Below are 20616 nucleotides of genomic sequence, written 5' to 3' on the forward strand. Positions count from 1 at the left end.
CAGATGAACGAGGAAGACAGTTTTCCAACCCCATCTGAGGCGTCTCCTCCTTTTACAAATATTAAGATAAACGGGTATCACTTTTGGAAATTTTATATATAATAGGAAATCTATGGCACCGATCAGGGATTTCTCTTCCAGGGAAGCTATTGTGTCAGGTAAAGAGGCGGCCATACATCAGCCGGCTCTGCCCCTCAAATAGATAATCAATTTCCCTGAAAGCATCAATAACCAGAGTGGACATTTATTGCCCCGTGGATGGTTTATCTTTGGGGCTGGGGACAGCAGGGCCGTGATGAATACCAAATCTGCCAGGGAACACAATTAAATGCTGCGAAGATAAAGGATTTTATATCGTGCACAAAAAAGCAATCAAATTCATAATTGAACTCCATTGCATGAAACCAGCCAGAGATAAATATCACACCCAAAAGTGTATAACCTGGGTGCCGTGTTATGGGTCAGGCGACAGTGTTGCCAATACCCAGTAGTGTCTCCCTCTGGAGGCCCCGGTGCGCCCCTCTCGCTGGGGTACCAGCTTCCAATTGCCACTCTCTCTCCCTCTCCCCTTCCGCATGTGCCCAGGGCCACTCTCTCTCCCTCTCCCCTTCTGCACGCACCCACAGCCACTCTCTCTCCCTCTCCCCTTCCACACGCGCTCGGGGCTTCGGCCAGTGCTTTTTCTTTTTCTTTCCTTAGAGAAGAGAAAACGTGCTCCGGTCTGACTTGTCTTAAACCTGCAGAACTGTGTTCCCCTCTGGCCACCTGCATTAGGCGGCCCCAAGGGGGATGATGAGGTGGAGGAATGAGGGCCACAGCCTGGATAAAAGATACTGTGGGCTCCACAGGATGACAGGGGGAACCCCTACTGTGAAGCCAGGCGGGAGGATGCCTACTGTGGTGCCACCCTGGTTCCGAGGAGACCCTGAGCTGCTCCAGGCAAGAGCTCTGGGAAGGACTATGCAATCTCGTCTCTGCGGACTTGTGTCTCCAGAGAAATTGCTCCTTCCTGTTGGACGCAGCATCTCAGGGACTCTGGCGGGGCCACAGGGGCAGATACGGTGCTTGGGTCAGAGACAAAGAGCAAGAAAAGGCCAAGGGCATCACCTTCCCATTTGTTGCGTTCCTCCTGAGGTGGGGGCGAGGAGCGCCTTCATTACGGTTCAGGTCTGCTTGGACTTCATGAACTTGATTTTCAAAAGAACCTTGAAAATGTTAGAGTTTAAGGTCATATATGCTTGGCAAAATATGGCTTTTAGCTTGGAAGGAAAAAAAAAGGCATAGAGGGCATTTTGGACACAAAATAGCTCTTTAAAACAGCATTTTGATGAGTTAAGTATAAATAAATCAGAAACACACGGATCTCATTTCCTTTAAAATACCCGCGGGCTCAAACACTAGCGGGAAAAGTGCCTGGCAAACGGCGGTTTGGGATTTTGACAAACCCAAATATTTTGAAGAGGTTTCTGAAATGTTTGCACCCAGGTCTCCTCTCTGCCCTACCTTTAGTGCGTGCCTGTGTGCGCTGGTCCCCGTCGGCCTCTGAAGGGCAGGTCCAGCCAGCACGGCGCGTGGACACCACTCTCTGTGTCCTGGGTGCAGGCTTTCCACAGCCTGACCTGATGATGTGCAGCTTGCCTGTGTGTGTGTGTGTGTGTGTGTGTGTGTGTGTGTGTGTGTGTGCGCGCGCGCAGAAGGAAGGAAACGCAAGGAAGATCAGTTAAGGGATGAGGCTTTGGGTCTTCAAGAATTCTAACTTATTTTGGCGTGGAATGGGGAAAAAAAAACACATGAGAATCCTACTTGAAGGAGTTGAAATAAGGCTCTAAAACCGGCACTGGAATGAAGTCAGCAGTGTCTGCTCCCAGCCCAAACATCTGGGCTCCAAGTGGGCAATCGGCCCCACCTCCAGAAGTGTCGGATCACAGGACACAGCTCCTGGGGACGGAGCCGCCGGGGCAGCCAGATGTGTGGGCACCGCACAGGCAAAGCCGGTGGCATGCTCCAATGCAAGGCCATCTTCTTTACCTCTGCAGGAACAAATCGGATCAGGTGAGGCTGATTCTCCTGCATCCGTGCCTCAGCCCTTAGTGGTCCCAGATCATTGTGGTGGCCACTTTTAGGACAGGGCCAGAGCCTTGGCCTCGACCTCGCCCAGCAGGCAGGCAGCCCTCCCAGGACCCTTGGGTGAAACTCCAGCTTCCTCCTCCAGGTAGCTCAGGTGCCAGCAGGTAAGGCTGGGAGCAGCTATCCCTGAAGCCAACCCACTTCCTTCCTGTTCAGAGCTAAGAGCTGCCAAGAAGCACGGGGTGGCTGCTCAGATTCATGAGGTCTGCTCTGCACTTTTACAACCTAATAAAATTTGGGGGCATCTGAGAGGAACACCGAGGGGCACACGGGGACGTTGACATGTTGTGGTGGGGTCATTCAGACAGGACCTGAGTGCCGCTCTTCATTTGGTCCTGAATTCGGGTGTGCGGTGAGGCTGCGCCTGGCACCCCGGATCCCTCCACGGCTTCCCCCTTATCTAGAGCATCTGGCCCCATCTTGGCCGTCTCTGCTCGCTCAGAGACATAAACAGAAATGCCGTTTGGCAAAGGCGGCCCTAAAACATCTTTCCCTGAAATGTTCCTTTTGGCGTCTGATTAGGAAAAAAAACCTTGCAATTAATACTCTTGAGTTGGATTGTGAGATTTTCTGCAGAATTAGGCTTGGAGCATTTAACAACAAGGTTCCTTATTGCCCAGCCTCTAAATTTATAATAAAAATAAATGTTTCCCCTTCCTGACGTTGAAGGCCATGCCAACTGCAGAGAGGGGCCTGGATGCAAGAGGAAGCAATTGGATTCACTTAAATGCCGCAGACATAAACCCCTGCACGCCTTCGCAGGACTGGGTCCCCGCACGGGGACCCCAGGGAATGAGAACGGTGTCGGCTAATCTCCGAGCACTTCTCCTAATTGTACAGTGCTCCGCGCTAATCAACATCCAATGCCCGTTCTCTTTAAGACCAAGACAGAACAAAGCCTCAAATTACTAATTACACAAATACAGTGTCTTTTGCTAATTGGATTGGTTAATGTTAGTTAATAAAGCACTTTAAGGATAGGCAATGTGGTATGAAAGAGGCAATTCATACGTTTAATAATAGGCTAATAACTGTCAGCAATGAATAATCAGCCGTTGTCACGTGCAACGAACATCCACGCTCTTTCCAGCTCTTCGGGCGTCTGTTACAAATTAATGCCTTTGCAGGAGCCAGCCTGTGCTCCAAGCCCCTCATCCCCGGGCTGCTGGAGCTCCGACCTTGCCTTCTCGCCCGGCGAGGACCTGCAGCTCACACACCGCAGCCCCGGTGGCCGTTTGGGGAGTTTATCCTCTGAAGAAAAATGAAGCCCTGTTATTTCTATTATTTATGAAAGAGCCTTTGGCCAAGCGATTAGGGACAGGAACCAGAGTCCTGCATCCTTGTCCCGAGGCCACAGGCTTTGCTGTTTTACTCAGTGACCCCGGGCAAGCTCCTTGACCCCCACGGGCCTCCGTCAACTCAGCTGGAAAATTGGGTAAAAAGATTGCGGTGTCTCTCAGGCATGGAGCTGCAGACTGGAGGTGCGTAAGGCCGGCGGGACCGTGACAGTCCAGCGTGGGGCCGCAGCTGCGGCGGGGCTCTGCCGTGCACTCTAGCAGCCAGTGCCAAAAGGGAATCAGGACCCGTGGGCCCCAAATCAGCCCCCAGGACCTGAGATGTAGGGCCCGGCTCCGGGACCTGGTTTGGTAAAATGCAAAGACCCAAGTCCACAGCTGGCTGCCCAGGCTGCCCGTCTCCGCCAGCCCTAACCCTTTAGCTCCTCTTCAAATATCAGAAGAAAGAGGTGGCTGTGAAGAGCTTCTTGCAGGGGGTGGCCGGGTCTCCTGAGCAGGACCTGTTCCTGGGCAAGAGCTCCTGTGGGGACAGGTGCTGGGCAGCCAGGGGCTTTAGAGCCGGCGTTCTCTCTTTTTCCATCACGACAAGTGCCAACACCACTATGACCTACACCCGAGTGGGTCGAGTTTGCTCTTCCTCCAAGTCTCTGTTTCGAGCCGTGGGCTCTTCGCAGTATCCCAGGCTTCACAGTCACATCCAAGTAAATGTTGTTCCGCTCCGGGAAAGCGAGATCTTTAAGACAAAACAGAAGCGCCAGTGGCGAGGCTGTCCCTGCCAGTTGGCAGCACTGATTGAGTGTGCGGGGGTCCTCCCTCTTCTGAAGAGAGTCCCCGGAGGGATGTGTCCAGTGTGTGTCCTTCCCGGGACTGAAGCCTGGAAAAGCACAAAGCATTTTCCAGAAAAGAGAAGCAAACCGAGGATGGGATGCACTTGCGTTCACTCGCGATAAACGAGACGCCTTGAAAGTGGAACAGGATCCCACCGTTTTCTGCCTGAACGTGCACAGGTGAATCTGCACACCCCAGGCAGCCCCACCCCCAGAAAATTCTGTTTGTTAAGTACAGGAATGTACCAGAATTAATTACTTGAGGCTACACAAAGCTAACAGAAATGGAGGTCAAGAGAAAGCAGTTTTTGTGCGCCTCTCAGAGTAACGCTGTTGGTCTCCTGCGGCCCAAAGGGAGCTCTGGGCCAGCCCCAGGGAGGAAGTCCTGTGCCAGGCTCAGAGGAGTCCAAGATGGGCATAAAGTTGAATGAGGGCTGTATAGTCTCCCTGCCCTCTCCCCACTGCCTCGACAACGTTGCAGCTGCCCCAGCTGTGGAACGCAGGGCTTCGGCCTGTACATATCATCCCTCATGAGCTGGGGGCTCCTCGCCATGGCCCATCCCTCCAGAACCAGTACCACCTAGTTCTGCAGGTGAGACCCTCTGTCATCCCTCTGCCCGTCCACCTGCACTGTCCACCCAGCTTCCCAGGCCTCCTGCCATGGGGTCTCCTTTCTCTCCCTCCATCTCTCTCTCTCTGAACGGGACGCGCTGAGCCATCACCGCCACGGGCAGTGCTTTCCCACAGGCTTGCCTGGTTCACAGCCGGCAACCTCACCCCTCTTTTCAGTCCTTGGGAAGAGCAAATAAATCACACTGCAGAACAGCTCTCCCAGCCCTAAGAATAAAGTTTAAGTAACTGTGTCTGAGACTATTTCTGTAGCTCTTCAAGATGAGCCTTCCTGGGTGAATGCCTTCGCAGGCGGGAAGGTGCCCGTTTCTAAAGCCACTTGGGCAGAGCACCTCCCCAGGGCACCGTGAACACAACCCTCCTGCATCCATGGAGCAAGCAGCCAGGGAGGAGCCCAGGGTCATGGCGAGAGGAAGGCGCCTCTTCCGCTACTGACTGGTGGATATTCCCCCAGGGCCATCGTTACCCACACACGGGCTGGGTGGACAGGTGTCCCTGGGAGCACTGTTCACCCACAGTCCAGCACAGAAGCAGTCAGGGAGGACTGTGAGATCGGGCAAGAGGTGCCCACACCTGCAGGTGCCCCGGGGGCCCCTCCCCGGCCTCCCCTAGGTGGCCTGGGAAGCACATTCACCCCCATGCCCCTGTCTTTCTCCTGCACTAAAGGACATTTTTCTCAGTCCATCCTGCAGACAGATGGTGACCTTGTCATGTTTGTTGACAGCCACACGGCATAGCTGAGAATCAAAGCGCCACCTCCCATCTTCCCTGTCAGGGCCTCCAAGCCACAGGATGTACATTCCAAGCCTCACAGGCAGGATGGCAGAATCGGATCGGATCCCAGTCCCACCCAGCCACTTGCAGCCCATGAGCCTGGTCACTGAACCTGCTGTCCGTGCTGACCTCCTGCAGCTGGAGACAAACCAGGGAAACCTTAAGGGTCTCTTTCTTCTTATCTTAGGGCTAAAAAAAAGAAGGGAGGCGAGCAGGTGTGTCTGTTTTTCTGAGGCTCATGGACAGCAGGCAGGAGCAGCCCCCAGAGGAGCCCCTGGCCCAGGCTCCATTCTCAGACACGGGCGGGAGGGAGAGTGGTTTGCTCTCTTCCTTAGAGCAGGGTCTCTGCCCTTGTTTCAGTGACTTGTTAGAAAGCAAGGAAAGATGGTGCAAAATAAAGCTGCAGCTCCGTGCAGGTGTCGGGACCAAAAGCAGCTGCCCTGGCGCCCGCGTTTAGTTTGCATGAACACTCTGTGCACTTCGGATGCATGGCTGTGGCCCAAGGAGGAACGCGCATCCCCCTGCAGCTCTCTGGGATCCCTGGACCCCTACAGGGTCACTGTGAGATGAAATCACTAGAGGATGCTTTCGGGCACCCAGTGTGCTGTCTAGCCGAGGGCCTCAAGAGAGACAGACTGGCCTCCACTGGCAACTGCTGCTCCATCCCTGACCTGCCCGACGGCTCTCCACAAGGCCAGGCAAGGGTGCCAACTAGATGGCCGTTCTAGATTCCTGGATGTTGCTAGGTCTCACGGAGGCCTTTCTGCACTAGGACTCCACTCCCAGCCTCCTGGGACGAGTCCTTGGGGTAGCAATGGAGTGAGACTCCACAGTCATCCAGACAAGAAGCTCAGTTAGCGCCGGACTCACGGCCACCAGACCTGCCCCAGAGAAGAGACCCTTCCCCATCCCAGAGGAGGTTGAATATCCAGGGAAGTTGTGTGGATGGAAATTGACATTCTGAGGGTTTGGGGATCTCCCTTGTGGCAAGTTCGTGTGCTTCTCCTTGTTGGAAAACAAACAGGAGGAAAATAAGAAAAATATAAATGAACAGCCGTTTCAGACTGCTTCCCATCTCACACCACCTTTCCCCGTGGGAGGCTCCAGCTGAGAAGGCAGCTCCGACGCGGCCCCGGTTGGGGTGAGGCAGGACAGCTGTCCCCAGGATTGGGTGTTCCCAGCAGCCCTGCCTGCCTGTCTCGCTGGCTGTGTGGTGCCTGCGCACCTTCCTTCCCCACACCTGCCCGGTGCGACCGCACTGCAGCCTCGGGCACCATGAGGCATTCGAAGTGACAACCTTATGGTATTTCCTCTGCTTGGGGTTTTGCCTTGGCCGTTTGGTGTTGGGAGCAGGTGTGAGCAAAGGGAGCAGGGACAGATGAGCCACCTCTGCTCGTGGAAGCCTCCCATTCCTGGAGAGAGGCTGGGGAAGGCTCGTCCCCGCCTCTCTGCTGGCAGCTGGACTGGCTACCCAAGGACATGAGTGCCCTCTTATCTCCGTCCTCCTTGGAGCCGTGGTGTCTCTGCCGTGGGCCGGGGTCAATGTGCCTCCAATGTAAAAGTCCAGATCATGTATAATTTAGGCTTTCTGTGTCCTGTGTGACCTCCGTCCCATACACGTTTTTGTTTATTTTTACAACCCTTCATACACGTAAAAGCCGCCCATCCTGCCATCACCCTTACTAGGTTAATCGCCACAAGAGGCTTTTGGTCCGCAAGTCATGGCAGTCTTGAAAACGGGTGGTTACGTCTTGAGCGCCATCACGATTTGTGTGCACATGCCGAAAATAGGTGAGTGATGGGCCAGGCAGCGTTGCTGTTTGCATCTTCCCCGTCGTCATGGACAGCGGTCAAGGCCGTCTCCCCTTCTCCGTCGTCAGGGACAGCGGTCAAGGCCGTCCCCCTGGGGCATCTGCCTCCCGCTTCACAGATGAGGGCGTCGAGGCTGCTCAGCCCAGGGGATGCGGGGGTCGAGAGGTGTTTCTGGGACTCACAATGGGAAGCGCTGGCTTGGGGCCCAGGATTATTTGCCTGGTTTCTGCCGTCCTTCCCAGCTCTGTGAAAGGCACCAGAAGGAAGGAAGGTCGGAGGAACATTCCGTGTTGGTCAGGGAGCCCCTGAAGGCATCCTCCAGGGCAGGTGGCCTTGGCCGTACGTCTGCCCACATCTCAGCAAGGCTGGGCAGTCCCTGGACTTGGTATGGCCTGGAAATGCAGACGTGGGACCCCGGGAGGTTACTTGGAAATCACGGGCAGAGCGGGCAGCCTTTCACCTGCCAGGCCTTCCTGGTTCAGCTTCTCCACTAACTCCGCCCCAAGAGAGTAAAGCTGGACCCTGGGGGGTCCCGGCTGCAGCCACAGTTGCATGGACGTTGCAAGACTCCAGAGGTGGCCAGTTTTTCCCAGCAGATCAGCCCGGAATTCCTCGCTGCAGCTGTTCCTGTCACTGGGTCCCATTAGGAAAGCATGCAGTCTTGTTTGGTGACGCTCTGCCTCCCGCTGCCTTCACGCACGGTGGTCTCGAGTTCGCAGGCAGCTGCGACCGACACCCAGGAGCTCGGGCCTCTGTGTGTTGTCCCTGCAACAGATTGGAAACATTCCTTATGTGAGAGAAAGCAAAGCTCTTCATCTCCCTCTCCCTTCCCGCCGATCCATCTCCCTCACTTCTCCAAATGGAACCAGTTCAAGGGAGGCCAAATAAGCGAATGGCTCGGATAATGCCGGGTGGAGCTGCACGGCCTGAGTTTGAATCCCAGCTCTGCCATTTGCTGGCCCTGTGACATTGGACGACTTAACCTAACCTCTCTGAGCCTCAGCATTCTCAGGTGTAAATGGGGATTATTGTAGGATTATTTCAAGCATTAAATAGGATGATGCAGTGACACCTTTGGCAGAGCTAGCATATTAGCTGTTATTATTATCATTGTTATTTTATTTCAATCAGGAATAAAATACAACGGGAAACAATTGTACTTCTGGCCTCCTTGGCTTGCAAGTTTGCGGAACTCAGAAATGCGAGTCCACAAATGCTTGCTTCGTGAGTAAGTGGGATGCATGACAAGCGAGGATGAGAGAAAGACTGAATTTGATCAGGGAAGGGCCAAGGGGGGTAGTGACACTGGCAGCTGCTTCTGCTTCCTCCATCCCCAGAAAGGTGCTGCCTGCCATTTTTAAGGGAATTAAAATTCCATATTCTGCTCGGATATGGATCCACTTTCGGATCTTGAAAGGTTTCCCAAACCTCAGTGAGTGGTGTCGTAGCCAGAGAAGAGCCCAACTTTGGGGAGGTCAGATTCTCCCACCCAGTCCTGGGTCTTGGGGCTTTCAAACGCACATGTGACCCAGGCGCTGTTACCAGGAGATCTACGACCCTTCTTATTCACTTATGATTATTAAGAATTACCTTAATAAACGAGGGATCAATCAGCAGAGTCAGGTGGAAGTGCATTCATATGATTCTGTCAATTTCCAGGTCATTTCTATAACTAAAAAGGGTTGAGATAAAAGATAAATGTTTGTATAGAACCGATCATTGATCCTGTGATTTATTTTCCCCGTGGAAAGCGAAGCTCCCTGGGGAGATGCTGGTGCAGAGCCCACCGGGCTGCCCTGGAGGAGTGCCAGTGAGGGAGCCTCCAGCAGCTGCCCCCTGCCCAGGGTGGGGGTGGCCGGTGGCCGCGCGGTGCCTAGCACCTCCTGTGTCGTCGGTGTGGAGGAGGGACCGTCAGCATTTTCAGAAGCAGGGTGGAAAATGGCCAGCAGTGGACCTGGGAGGGCACATCTTTCAGATGTGAGTCGGGACAGCCACTTTGGGGTTTGCAATGGCAGAGTTTGGTGTTGGTTTAAGTGATTGGGGGAAGGCACAGCGCACCCGCCGGAGCTGGGGTCCCCTCCTGCCGCTGCCACTCACAGTGAGCGGAATCTGTCCTGGGGCGCAAAGGGCTCAGGCTGAGCATGGAACATCCCCTGCTCACAGACACTGGCCTTTGGAAGATGGAAAACCATTCCGCCAGCATCCTTCTCCCTGCCCCTGTGAGTGCGGCCAGCCTGGCCTGGTCCTCTCTGCCCAGCAGGCCTGCAGTAGCCTCCTTCAGCAGCCTCCCTGTTGCCTACATAACTTTACTAACACAGGAGAGCCGACGTTAGATTGTCCCATCACAAAATAAACTAATGATGAATGAAGAGGGCAGGGCAAGCTTTTGGAGGTGATGGATGGGTTTATGGTGTGGATCGTGGCGATGGTTTCTTGGTGCATTCTTGCGTCTCCAGGCTCATAAAGTTGTCTACATTAAATACCAACAGCTTTTTATATGCCAATCATACCGCAATGAAGTGTTGGGGTTTTTTTAAAAAAAAAAAAAGGTGGGGGGAAATTCTATGAACTCTGGGAGACTGTTGAGATGGCCTCTTGCGGGTGGGAGTGGCTGCTGGAGGATGGGCACAGGGCCCACTGCTCCCCTTCCATTTGTCTTGGCTGAGCCTGGAGCCCTCGGCTCCTTGACGCTCCCACCAGGCTGGATGTGACTTTCGGGGTTTGCGATTGGGTCGGTCCCGGTGTCCTGGGAGTGTGTTCAGGGCTTGGGCTCTTGGAACCCGGGCATGGGACTGTCGTGTTGATTTCGTCTTCAGGGTTCATCCCTGACTCATCCCCCTGTTCTGGGGGCCTTCCTCTGCGGTAGCTTTGATGCTTCCTCTCCAGTATGGTCACCAACAGAGGGGCTTCCCGAGACAGGGGCTTTCAGAGCTCAAATCCAGACAGTCCTGGCCACAGGTTGGTCCTCTTGTCCCCGGGGCCCTGACACGGAGCCTGCACAAAGGAGCTGTCCCCGCCCCAGCAGCTCAGGTCCATCCTCAACTCCCCAGGCTGCCCCGGCCAGGCCACTTCCAGGCCAAGCAGCCGCAAGACAGGCGGGAGCCGGACCCTGTGCCTCGAGGCCCAGGTATCTGATTTCTAGCCGCCTGCCCGAGACGCCTGGTCCAGCAAGAGGCCCTGAGCCTGTCAGGGTGGCCAGGGCAGCTTCCCTAAGCCCCATAGTCAGAGAGCCACCCCGAGCACAGGGCCCCCGCAGGCTGGATGGCCGGGCCCCACCGTGACTGTGCCAGTCCCCACCCTCCACCCACAGGCCAGGGCCTGGTTCCCAGGGGCCTGGCCCAGGTGAACATGACCATGTAGCAGCTCGGTAAATTCTACAAGGAGAGCTCCCATTTTCCACTCACTGACTCATGATTTATTATTCGGTAAATGCCACGTGGGGTCTCCCTTGTGTTCCTGCTCGGAGGGGCCGTGATGGTGCCTGACACCCACCTTTGGCCTAAAGGGGCGTCTAATCCAGGAGGGAGGACGGGCCTGCCTGTAATAACTGGGCAGCTCTGAAGTGAGGCTGGCCATCCTTTTCCAGGCTGCAGGGCTCTGATGAAAGTTGGTGGAGAAATAAAGTGTGAGTGGGTTGGGTCAAGGTCACCTGCCGTCCACTTAGAACCATCAGCTTCAACACCACCTTCCCAGCACAGAAGCTGCAGAGTGCAGAGGGTGTCCCTGGGATCGGCTCCACTGGCGTCCCAGCCAGAGCCCCCTACCGAGCCCTGCCTGCAGGTCCTGGGGCCCTGCGAGGCCGCCCAGCCGCTCCAGGCCTTGGCTCTTTCATCTTCTAGAACCCAGGCCCTCGGAAGCTCTGAGACCAGCTCCAGGAACAAACAGCCTCGCAGAACTTTCTCCTCATTTCCAGGGCGTGCGTGTCCAGTTCCTGAGCTGGCTACGGGAGGCTCTTGGACTGGCCGCTGCTTCCCTTTCTCGTGCTGGAAGTGATGGCTCTTCATGAGCCATTGATCGCGAGGGCCACATGTCACCTGCTTTTATGATTTACATTCCCTTCCCCTGGGGACATCAATCTTCCGGAAGCAGAAGGAGGAAGGTGTCCACAGAGGGCCAGAAGCAATGCTGGACACCCCTGTGCTCGGGGACAGGGGCCTGCAGAGATCCTTCCCGCTCGCCCCGCTGCCTGGCAGAGAAAGGGCTCTGGAGCCTGCGCCCCAGGGGCTGATAGCCTCCTGCCAGTCCCCACACCAGGTCACCCCCACCCGCTCTCACCTTGCTCCATCAGCAGGGGCTCCCAGGTGGAGCCCAGGAACAACAGGCCTTCCCCAGCTCCGCCTGACATGGGGGAAAGAGCGCCCGTGAGTCCAGGACGGCGGGGGCGGGGTGTGGGGGGTCCCTGCCATGTAGACCCCGGAAGCCTGCCCTGCTCCAGGGAATCTCAGGCTGGGTCAGATCTCCCCCAGGCCCCTCATTTGGAAAGGGCTGTCCTGCCTGTGTGGGGCGGAGCTCTGAGATCTGGAGCAGCCCATCGAGCATGGCGGGGGAGTGGGGGTTGTGTGGTGGAGGAGCTGCGTCTTTGGCTTGGTGGAGAATTCAAAGCTGTGGCTGGAATGGCCCAAGCATTCTGGAAGTTTGGGAAGGTCTGAACGTGGTAACCTGCACTCTCTCCTCTCTGGAAAGGGATAGCATGGCGGGGGCAGTATCCAGAGAGCAGGCATCCCTGCAGGCGCCACCCTCCCCAGACAACTGCAGCCCCAGGGCAGGTGGTCAGTTATAGCCCTGCCCCCAACTCTACCTTGTGCCCCGAGGTGCTAGAGGCAGAGGGCAGAGCAAGGTCACAGCCAGGGCAGGCCAGGGGGACCCCACAGTGCCTCCTTGTCTCCCACAGCCCCTGGGGCTGGGAAGGAGGCTTGGAGAGGCCTGGCGGGGGGTGGCTTCCCAGGCCAGGAGCAGTTGGAGAGAGAGACAGGACCCCCACCCTAGGGCTTCCAGCAGCCTCGTCCTCTGAGAGGCTCCTGTGACTTCCAGGTCAAGGACCACAAATATGCTAATGGCCTGGGGGGGCGCTTGTCTGACCACCGCATTGGCAATGAGGTGGGCAGAGGAAAGTGAGTCCTCACAGGGCTGCTTGCAGGCTGGAAGGGAGTGGGGCCTCCTGGGTACTTCACCAGCAAGCTGGGCGTGGCCATGGGCCCCACGCCGGTGGGTGCCTGGGTGACCCGGGCTGGGGGCCAGGGCTGGTCTACACCTGTGTATCTTCAGGCTTCCCTGGGAAAAGGGGCTGCCCAGCCCTGCCCTCGGTGTGCACCACCTACTCAGGGTCCACTCACCTTGATCTTGGCAGGGCCCATGTGAATCCAGGGTGAGCCCGGGTTAGCACTCCCCTGCTGTCAAATTCGGGAGGCTACTTTACCTCTCTGAGCCCCTTCCTCTTCTGCACAGAGCAGGAAGCCATAGCCTTGCTCGTGGGTGTGTTCTGGGGTTTACATGCATTATTGGGGGCCAAGTACCCAGTGCGGAGCCCGGCCTGCCTGGCCCTTGGCCCTCCACCTCACCATGGAGGCCTCTTGTCCTGGGCAGCCTCCTTCTCTGTGTGAGGAGAGCTAGACAGGTCCTAGCAAAGGGAGGAAGCTGGGGGGCACAGGCCGGATGGAGCCCACTGCGGGGCCCCACACTTGGGTCAGCAGGAAAGACCCCCACATGCTCCTCCGAGCAGACATGAGGAGGGAGACCCCTTGGGGGCCCGTGCACACAGGAAGCCACCCTTCCTGCAAACTGTCCCTCCTCCACACCCCATGCCCCCATCGTCTGTTTCTTGCCTCCATCCGAGAGCCCCTGCCTGAGTGAAATCCCTCAGCCTGGTCCTCAAAGGGCCATGGCAGAGCTCCCCCCAGGCTTCCCAACCCCAGGGCTCCTCCGTCTCTGGGGTGCTCATTTGCCCCCTGCTAACACCTTTGTGCATATGCTGCCTCACTCCCAGCCCCATCACCTCCTGGGCTCCCCACCCCCACTTCGGGACCCCACCCCCAAGAGGACCTCAGCTCCCAGACTTGGAGATCTTTCCTCTTCCTCGTGTTGATGTTGCTGTGGAAGGCAGGGTGGGTCCTACCCATTGTGTCTGCCCCAGAGTAGTGAATTCTGGACTAAATACTGTTTCCGTATTTTTTAAATGTCTCCAAGGCACTCTCCGTGGGGCAGTGTAGACCAAAGGTGCTCAATACCACTTATGAAATGAGGACATGAAGGGGTGTGGAGCCTGCTCCCGGGGGCCAGGGAGAGGAAGAGCAGTGCCCATTCAATCATCTCACAGGAAGGGAGATGCGCGCGGGGCCAGCCTCGCCCGGGCGGTGTGTCCAGGCCAAGGGGCAGCACTCACAGGCGGGGCTGCCAGCGAACAGAGTGTTCTTGGAACATCAGAAAGAGAAGCAGGCCATGCCCAGATTTTGGGTCTTCAAGGCCTTGCTGGCTGGGCGGGGCAGGGCCAGGCGGTGGCAGCCCTGCAGGTCGAGAGAAAATCACTGGGCGTGCACTGAAGTCTGCTGGCTCTAGCAGACTGCTTGTGGCCGGAGCAAAGCACAAGGCCCCATCTCACCAGGTCAGCGGAGATGCTGCCTGCCTGGAGCTCGGGTCCCATGGGGTTGGGGGCGAAGATGCTGCATCCCAGTGCTGTTCCCTGCTCGGGGCCCTGGAAGCAGAGCGGCCTGGCTTCTCTCATTGGCCAAAGAGGGTTTGGAAGGTAGGGCTTAGGGGCCATTCCCTCCTGTCGCACAGCCCTGCGGGGTTCTCATGCGGAACCCCAGGCCAACCCCTGATGACAGGGCCCAACGCGGGAGGCTTGGGAAGGCCTTTGGTGGTGGGGGCAGGGGATGCGGAGGGCAGGAGTGAGGGAGGTGGTGGCTGGGAGTGTAAACAGCGGCGTAGAGACCTCTGTGCATTTCAGGACGGGCTCTCCAGAGCCCAGGGTCCTTTTCTGTGCCGTACTTGACTGTGTAAATATTTTTCTTAGGAGTAAAGAGAGAGCCTCCATTCATTGGATGGATCTCACTTGAAGGAACTGAGAAGTAACTGTTTAGGCATAAAAGCTAAAAGCAGTGTCCAAGGAGCTTTAAAAAAAATCATTTCTGTAGCTCAAACACGGCCAAGCTGATTTTTTTAATGCAAAAAATAAATAAATATTATCCTACTCCCGGTTGAGAGCGCAAGGGTTTGTGTCAACACCAGTGCAGTCTTTGCTCTGCGAGCCAGAGGCGGGGCGGCCGGCGACTAACCGCCTTTCACGGTTCTTGCGGGAGCTGCCAACGGGAAGCCGCCCAGCTTTGCTGGAGCCCACACGGCCGGAGGGAGCTTGGCCGTGGAGAGAGTCCTGGCCGGGGTTCAGGTGCAAGTCCCGGGTGGAAGGGCCTGGCGTGTGTCTTCTTCCTGCCGAGGCATCCACCCGGAGGCCTCTGTCCTGCCGGAGCACACTCCTGGAGTCAGGAGGCCCAGACTCGAGTGCGGGCGCTGCCCTGAGCAGCTCCTCGACATCTGCCCGGTCACCTCAACTCTGCAGCCCCTGTTTCCCGTCTACACAGCAGGGGCGTTGCTGGTTCCTGCTTCCCACATGTGGTTGTGAGGAGGAGGTCCGCGTCTGCGGTGCCTGGGACAGGCCCCCCACATGTGGCAGGGCCCCAAAAAATGACCCGCTGCTGTTATGACTGGCTTCACCATTGCCATCACCTTGATGCAACATTTACACCAGGGAAATTGGCAGCACCCACGGCTTCCATTTGGAAAAGAAAATTAAGAATGAGATTTGTTCTTTAAAAACTCCATCTTCTCAGAAAGGGAGGATGTGTGGGTGGCCGTGGACATTCCTCTCCGAGAGTGAGATGACCCTGAGATGTGGAGGCTCAGTGTGGCCTGGTCATCAGCTTCCAGCCCTGCCAGGGGCACTGTTTAGTTGGGTGTAAAACCCTGCTGAACATGTAGGCCGCATGGAAGCTGAAGCTGCTGACCACCAAGACCTTTGCTCAGACTGTGTCCAGCAGAACCCTGAGCCCCTCGACCCCACAGTCTCCCAGCAGTGAGCAGAGTGAGGCTTGGAGCCTGGATGGGATGTGGAGGTTGTAGACAGCTCCATCAGCCTTGCCATTTGTATGCCCCTGGGTGCCCTGCATAGACAACCCTGACCCCCCGACTCCACCCATAGGGGCTTCTTCAAGGAGAAGAGGCCTTGGAATCAGCTTTTAGCAGGTTCTAGACTCAGACCCACATCTTTGGGTCCAACGAAGCTACTTCAGAAATGGGCAAGAAAGAAAAGTAGGTTAGAACCAGCCACAGTGGCTCACGCCTGTCATCCTAGCACTTTGGGAGGCCAAGGCAGGAGAATTGCTTGAGCCCAGGAGTTAGAAATCAGCCTGAACAACATAGTGAGACCCTGTCTCTACAAAAAATACAAAAAATTAGCCAGACATGGTGGAGCATGCCTCTAATCCTAGCTATTTGGGAGGCAGAGGTGGGAGGATCACCTGAGCCCAGGAGGTCGAGGTTGCAGTGAGCTGATAGAGCCACTGCACTCTAGCCTGGAGGCTGGGGGTGGGCGGGGAGAGAGAGAGAGAAGAAAAGTAAAGAAGAAAGAAAGAAAGAAAAGAAAAGAGAGAGAGGAAGGAAAGATGGAGAGAGAGAGAAGAGGAGAGGAGAAGAGGAGAGGAGAGGAGAAGAGGAGAGGAGAGGAGAGGAGAGGAGAGGAGAGGAGAGGAGAGGAGAGGAGGAGAAGAGAAGAGAAGAAAGAAAAGAAAGAAAAGTTAGAGCCGAGCTGGGCATGATGGCTCACATCTATAATCACAGAACTTTGGGAGGATTGCTGGAGTCCAGGAGTCCCAGCCTGGGCAACATAGTGAGACCCCATCTCTACAAAAAATAAAACAAATTAGCCGGGATGGTGGTGTGCTTGTTGTCCCAGCTACTCAGGAGGCTGAGTTGAGAGGATCGCTTGAGCTCAGGAGGCTGAGGCTGCAGTGAGCCATGATTGCACCACTGCACTCCAGCCTGGGTGAGACAACCTGTTTCAAAAAAAAAAAAAAAACAGAAAAAGAAGAAGAAGAAAGAAAAGAGAAGTAGGTTAGAGAGAGAAGGTTTGCTCTCAATGCCAAGAGCAAGGGGTGGGTAAAGCGGAGTGTTGGGGTCCCTCATGGGCCTCAGCCTCCTCCGCACCGGGCTCCGTCCACCTCCCGCTGGTATGGAAGCAGCTCCGTGGCCGGGGCTCACTCTGGGTTTCCTCCTTAGTTAGGTTCTCAGATACTTTAATAACAGATAATTTTGACGGGAGAGAAACCTTCTGGGATCCATTTGTGGCACCAAACAGCAAGCTGAGCCCCCCTGGGGCGGCGCCAGAACTCCAGAGCCCTAAGCGCCTCTGCGTACGTGGCCTCTTTGCTGACTTTTTGGAGAACAGAGGGTATTTATTTTAAGAGTCAAAAAAGAGGTTCTGACCAACCCCACTTAGCTAAATCCTGGCGCTGGGACCCGTGAGAGCAGCTAAACGCCAGAGGTCAGACCTCGCTTTTTTTGGCTAAAACGCTTAATCAAACACACCTAATACTTCTGCCGGGGTGCGGGGAGGTTGAGAGCGCGGCGGCCGCTGCCAGCAATCGAGGAGCCAGCGGCGCGTGTGCTGAGGGCCCAGCTAGCAAAATAAAGAGGGTTTTCAGCGGAGCGGCGGCTCAGGCGAGGCTGGGGGAGCCGGGGAGCGCGTCCCGCCATTTTTCCAGCCGAGGTCAGCAGCGGGTGAAGGGGCGGAGTCCGTGGTGTTCCCAACTGCCCAGGCGGGCGGTGAGATGGGGCAGGCGGTTCCGCAACGCGGCTCAGGCCCCAGCGCCCTGCCTGCAGGAGGCCGCTTCTTTCTCTGTTGCCATCGGGCGCCGGTTTCCTCTTCCGGGGATGCAGGGCAGCTGGGGGGGCTCTGCCTCTGTGCGGCTCTTCCGTGGTTCCACGCTGGGCTCCGGGGTGACCACAGTCCTCAGCAGCCCACACCCTCAGCCCGAAGGGGGCCCAGGCCCCGTGCCCAGAGGATCCAGAGAGACAGCCGGGAGCCCAGCAGCTGTGGCAGCTGCCCCCACCACCACCCCGGGGCTGGCCAGGTCCCACCTCCTGACGCCACACGGTATGACTGGGCCCTCCTGGTCAGTGCGTCGCATGTAACGCCTTCAACTATTGGGGCCGGTGTTGGAGCATCCGTCTCTGCGTCCCCACCTGATGACAAGCTCCGGGGAGCAGGAGTGCTGGCCAAGCCCACGCACGGACCAAGCCCACGTCAGACTCCGCCAGAAAGGCAAGAAGGGCCTCCGCATGGCGTGACGGATGGGTTTATGGGGGCATTCCATCCCACCCGGACGCTCGGAGGGCAGGGAGACAGGAAGATCAGGCGACCAAAAGTGCAAGTGAAAATGCAGCTGGCCACAGCAGGAACGGTGGGCGCCCAGCAGAGAGCAGCGTGGACAGAGGGAGGGCGGCCCCCACCTGAGAGGCTATGCATCTGAGGCCACAGCAGGCCCAGGGTGGCATCGGTGGGTGGCTGGAGGGCTGTCACGCTAGCCCCCTCCGAATGTGAGGTTGTGGTGTTAACGGGGGCTCCTGGGCTGACCCTGCCTGGGAGTGATCGTGGGGGTGTCACCTGCATTGGGAATGGCTTGAATGGGCCGTGGCATGCACTTTCCCACTGGGAACAGGAGGGAGCCTCCCGGAAAATGCCCAGAGGCCACCAAATGCTCCCAGGCCAGCGCCAGGCCCCTGTGGGCTCTGGGTGGGTACGTGGGTTTGTGAGCAGGTACTGGCAGGACAGGGCGGGGAGGGCAGGGCCCTCTCGCTGGTGGTGTCTGCACAGGTGCCTGTGACTCCGCCGCAAATGCCAGAGAGATACAAACAGCATCTCACTCCTCGACGTGCCTCACGAAGCAGGCAGGACTGGGGAGGCCCTGGTTCTGGTTTCAGCCCAGCCTTTAACTGGCAACAAGATCCACAGTTTCTCTGCCCGGGGCGGCTCACTACGGCGGGATCTGTCCTTCTACTCTCGAGAGCTCCAGCACCACCACTGGGACGGGGCATCCCTTTCACCAGACCTGGGATGGCCAAACGGTCCTCCAGCATCCAGAGTGAGGAGAGATTCCACCTGAGCAGCTCCTCGAGCTCTGCCTCCAGCACGCCTCGGCCCCGCAGGCAGGTCACACCCTACTAAGGCTTTCTCCTCTTCCAAACGCAGCCCATCTAGGTGCCTGAATCTAGCAGCCATCACTGCCATTCACATTAGCGCAGGGTGACCCGGAAGGCGATGGGGCTGGGCCCCACTGTGACTGGGAACGCCAGCTCGTCAATTGCACCTTGGTAGGCACGCTGTGCTGCTGTGCTCCGTCCTTAGGATTTGTAAAGCCATCATGTAATATTAAGGGGAGGGGAAAGAAAATCTTTGGCTTGAGCATCATTTTCTCGTTTTATTTTTCAAGTATCAGTTTCAATCTTGGTTTCTATTCTTATGGAAACAACGTTGCGGTTTCCGTATACTCGACCGTGCATGGCCACTTTGGGTCCAGAAGGGAAAAATCCAATTTCTAGAGCTCATTTGTCAGTTTGCTTAGCACAGACAGCACTCTGGGATGGGTCACTGAGACGCCGCCACTCTGGAGTGCAGCCTGGTGGCTTTTAAGAGGAGACACCCGGCGAAATGCTCTCCAGAGCCAAAGAACGTTCCGGCTGGAGCGACCTGGGAGGAAGAACGAGCCGACTGCTGGCCCACTCCAGCCTCCCTGTCTCGGCCTCTGTCCACACGTGGGTGAGGGGGTGGGAGCTCCTGTGTGGCCCACAGCCCGCTGCTGGGGGTCCTCAGTGGCCACCCCGGGCACCTGCATGGCACTAGGCACAGCGGCTTTTCTGCCTTAGCTCCATTTCCTTTGAGAAGTTTCCTCCAAAAGCCATGGGGGACATCCCCCTCCCAGGGATCTGGATGGGAGTGAAGAGCCAGTTAAAACACTCCCACCTCTGATTTGCCAAAAAAAAAAAGAGGAAGCAGAGAAATGGCATGAGCTCCCTCTCCCTCCAGCACCCACCAAGCCACCCTTCCGCAGGGCGTTGGCCGACCTCTGCCCCTGCCTCTGGCCGCCCGCCGCTGTCTCCTGGGACCGCTGGGCAGAGTCCAGCTCCCCCCGACCTCTGCCTCCTGAGCTGGACTGTAAGCCCCCGGAGGGCAGGGACTGCACCTCGCTGTCTCTCACCTGTCCAGGACCAGGCACAACCTAGGCCAAGTTACGTCTAAATACACGTGGTGTGATTCGCCGGCGGAACTTGGAGGAAACACAAATAGAGTCTGTTCACCATCCAGGGTGTCCATGCGCTCCTCCCAGATGGTTCTCATAAATAATATGAATGGCTCACCTTGAGACGCCTTGACCTGGGTCCCCACCCAACCACTAAAGGGCCAGAGTGAGCTACACAGTGTGTCTCCATCCCTGGAGTGCAGTGTTTCCAGGGAGGTGAAGTCCCTGGGGGGCGCTTGGAGTCCTCGGTGACTGGGGGAGCCTCTGCTGGAAGAAGGGATACCTGTGATCAATGGAACCCTTCATTTCCTGCTGTGGAGAAGCCACTGGGTCCCACCCTGTGACTTTTGGGGACAGTGGTTCTGCCCCCACCATTTAGAACCCAGTGTAGCTTGAGAATGTTTTATCAGAAACTAACAACCCCTCTCAAAATTGTTTTGCAGCAAATACTGACGGACGTGGAAGTGTCGCCCCAGGAAGGCTGCATCACAAAGGTAGGAGAGCTCGCCCTGCGCCGTCTCAGCTCCCCAGCGTCCTCGGAGCTCCTGGCGGGGCGACCGCCATCCCAGCTGTCCCTGAGCTAACAAGCGTGTAGTCGGAATGTTGCTGGCAGGCCCCGAGCAATGTGTTATCTGTGGACTGACGTGTGCACAGGACGGTGGCTTTGCTGTCATTAGGAGGGATGGGGAGGTGGGGGTCATGTCGCCGTAGGGTCACAGGTACAGGGCCATCCGCCACTCTCCTAACTCCCGAGAGTGGAGGAGAGCCCTGTACCTGTGGGAAAGCTTCAGGCCACGCAGACAGGAAAATTAAATAAACGCAGGTTGTGTTTATTTAACTGTCTTTGCTGGATACTCTCATGAA

General features: G+C 56.7%; 1 protein-coding gene across 2 annotated transcripts in view, besides 2 other annotated features; it reads left to right on the plus strand.

The window, feature by feature from the left end:
• Nucleotides 1-20616, plus strand: part of PRDM16 (PR/SET domain 16) — a 369419-nt gene that overhangs the window by 154689 nt on the left and 194114 nt on the right. For both annotated transcript variants that reach the window (NM_022114.4, NM_199454.3), the window contains exon 3: nucleotides 20196-20246. In NM_022114.4, coding sequence (NP_071397.3) covers nucleotides 20196-20246 — 51 coding nt within the window. The remainder of the gene's footprint in view (nucleotides 1-20195; nucleotides 20247-20616) is intronic.
• Nucleotides 10156-10325: an enhancer, noted in NCBI's record as "experimental_6702 CRE fragment used in MPRA reporter constructs". NCBI's record gives its function as "activates a minimal promoter by MPRAs in K562 erythroleukemia cells, with activity observed for both the introgressed and non-introgressed 1:3150696 variant alleles {active_cell/tissue: K562}" and the evidence as "EXISTENCE:reporter gene assay evidence [ECO:0000049][PMID:34662402]".
• Nucleotides 17054-17348: an enhancer, noted in NCBI's record as "tiled region #1148; K562 Activating non-DNase unmatched - State 4:PromP". NCBI's record gives its function as "activates a minimal TATA promoter and a strong SV40 promoter by Sharpr-MPRA in K562 cells {active_cell/tissue: K562}" and the evidence as "EXISTENCE:reporter gene assay evidence [ECO:0000049][PMID:27701403]".

Source organism: Homo sapiens, chromosome 1 (genome assembly GCF_000001405.40).
Source record: "Homo sapiens chromosome 1, GRCh38.p14 Primary Assembly".
NCBI classification, from domain to species: Eukaryota; Metazoa; Chordata; class Mammalia; order Primates; family Hominidae; genus Homo; species Homo sapiens.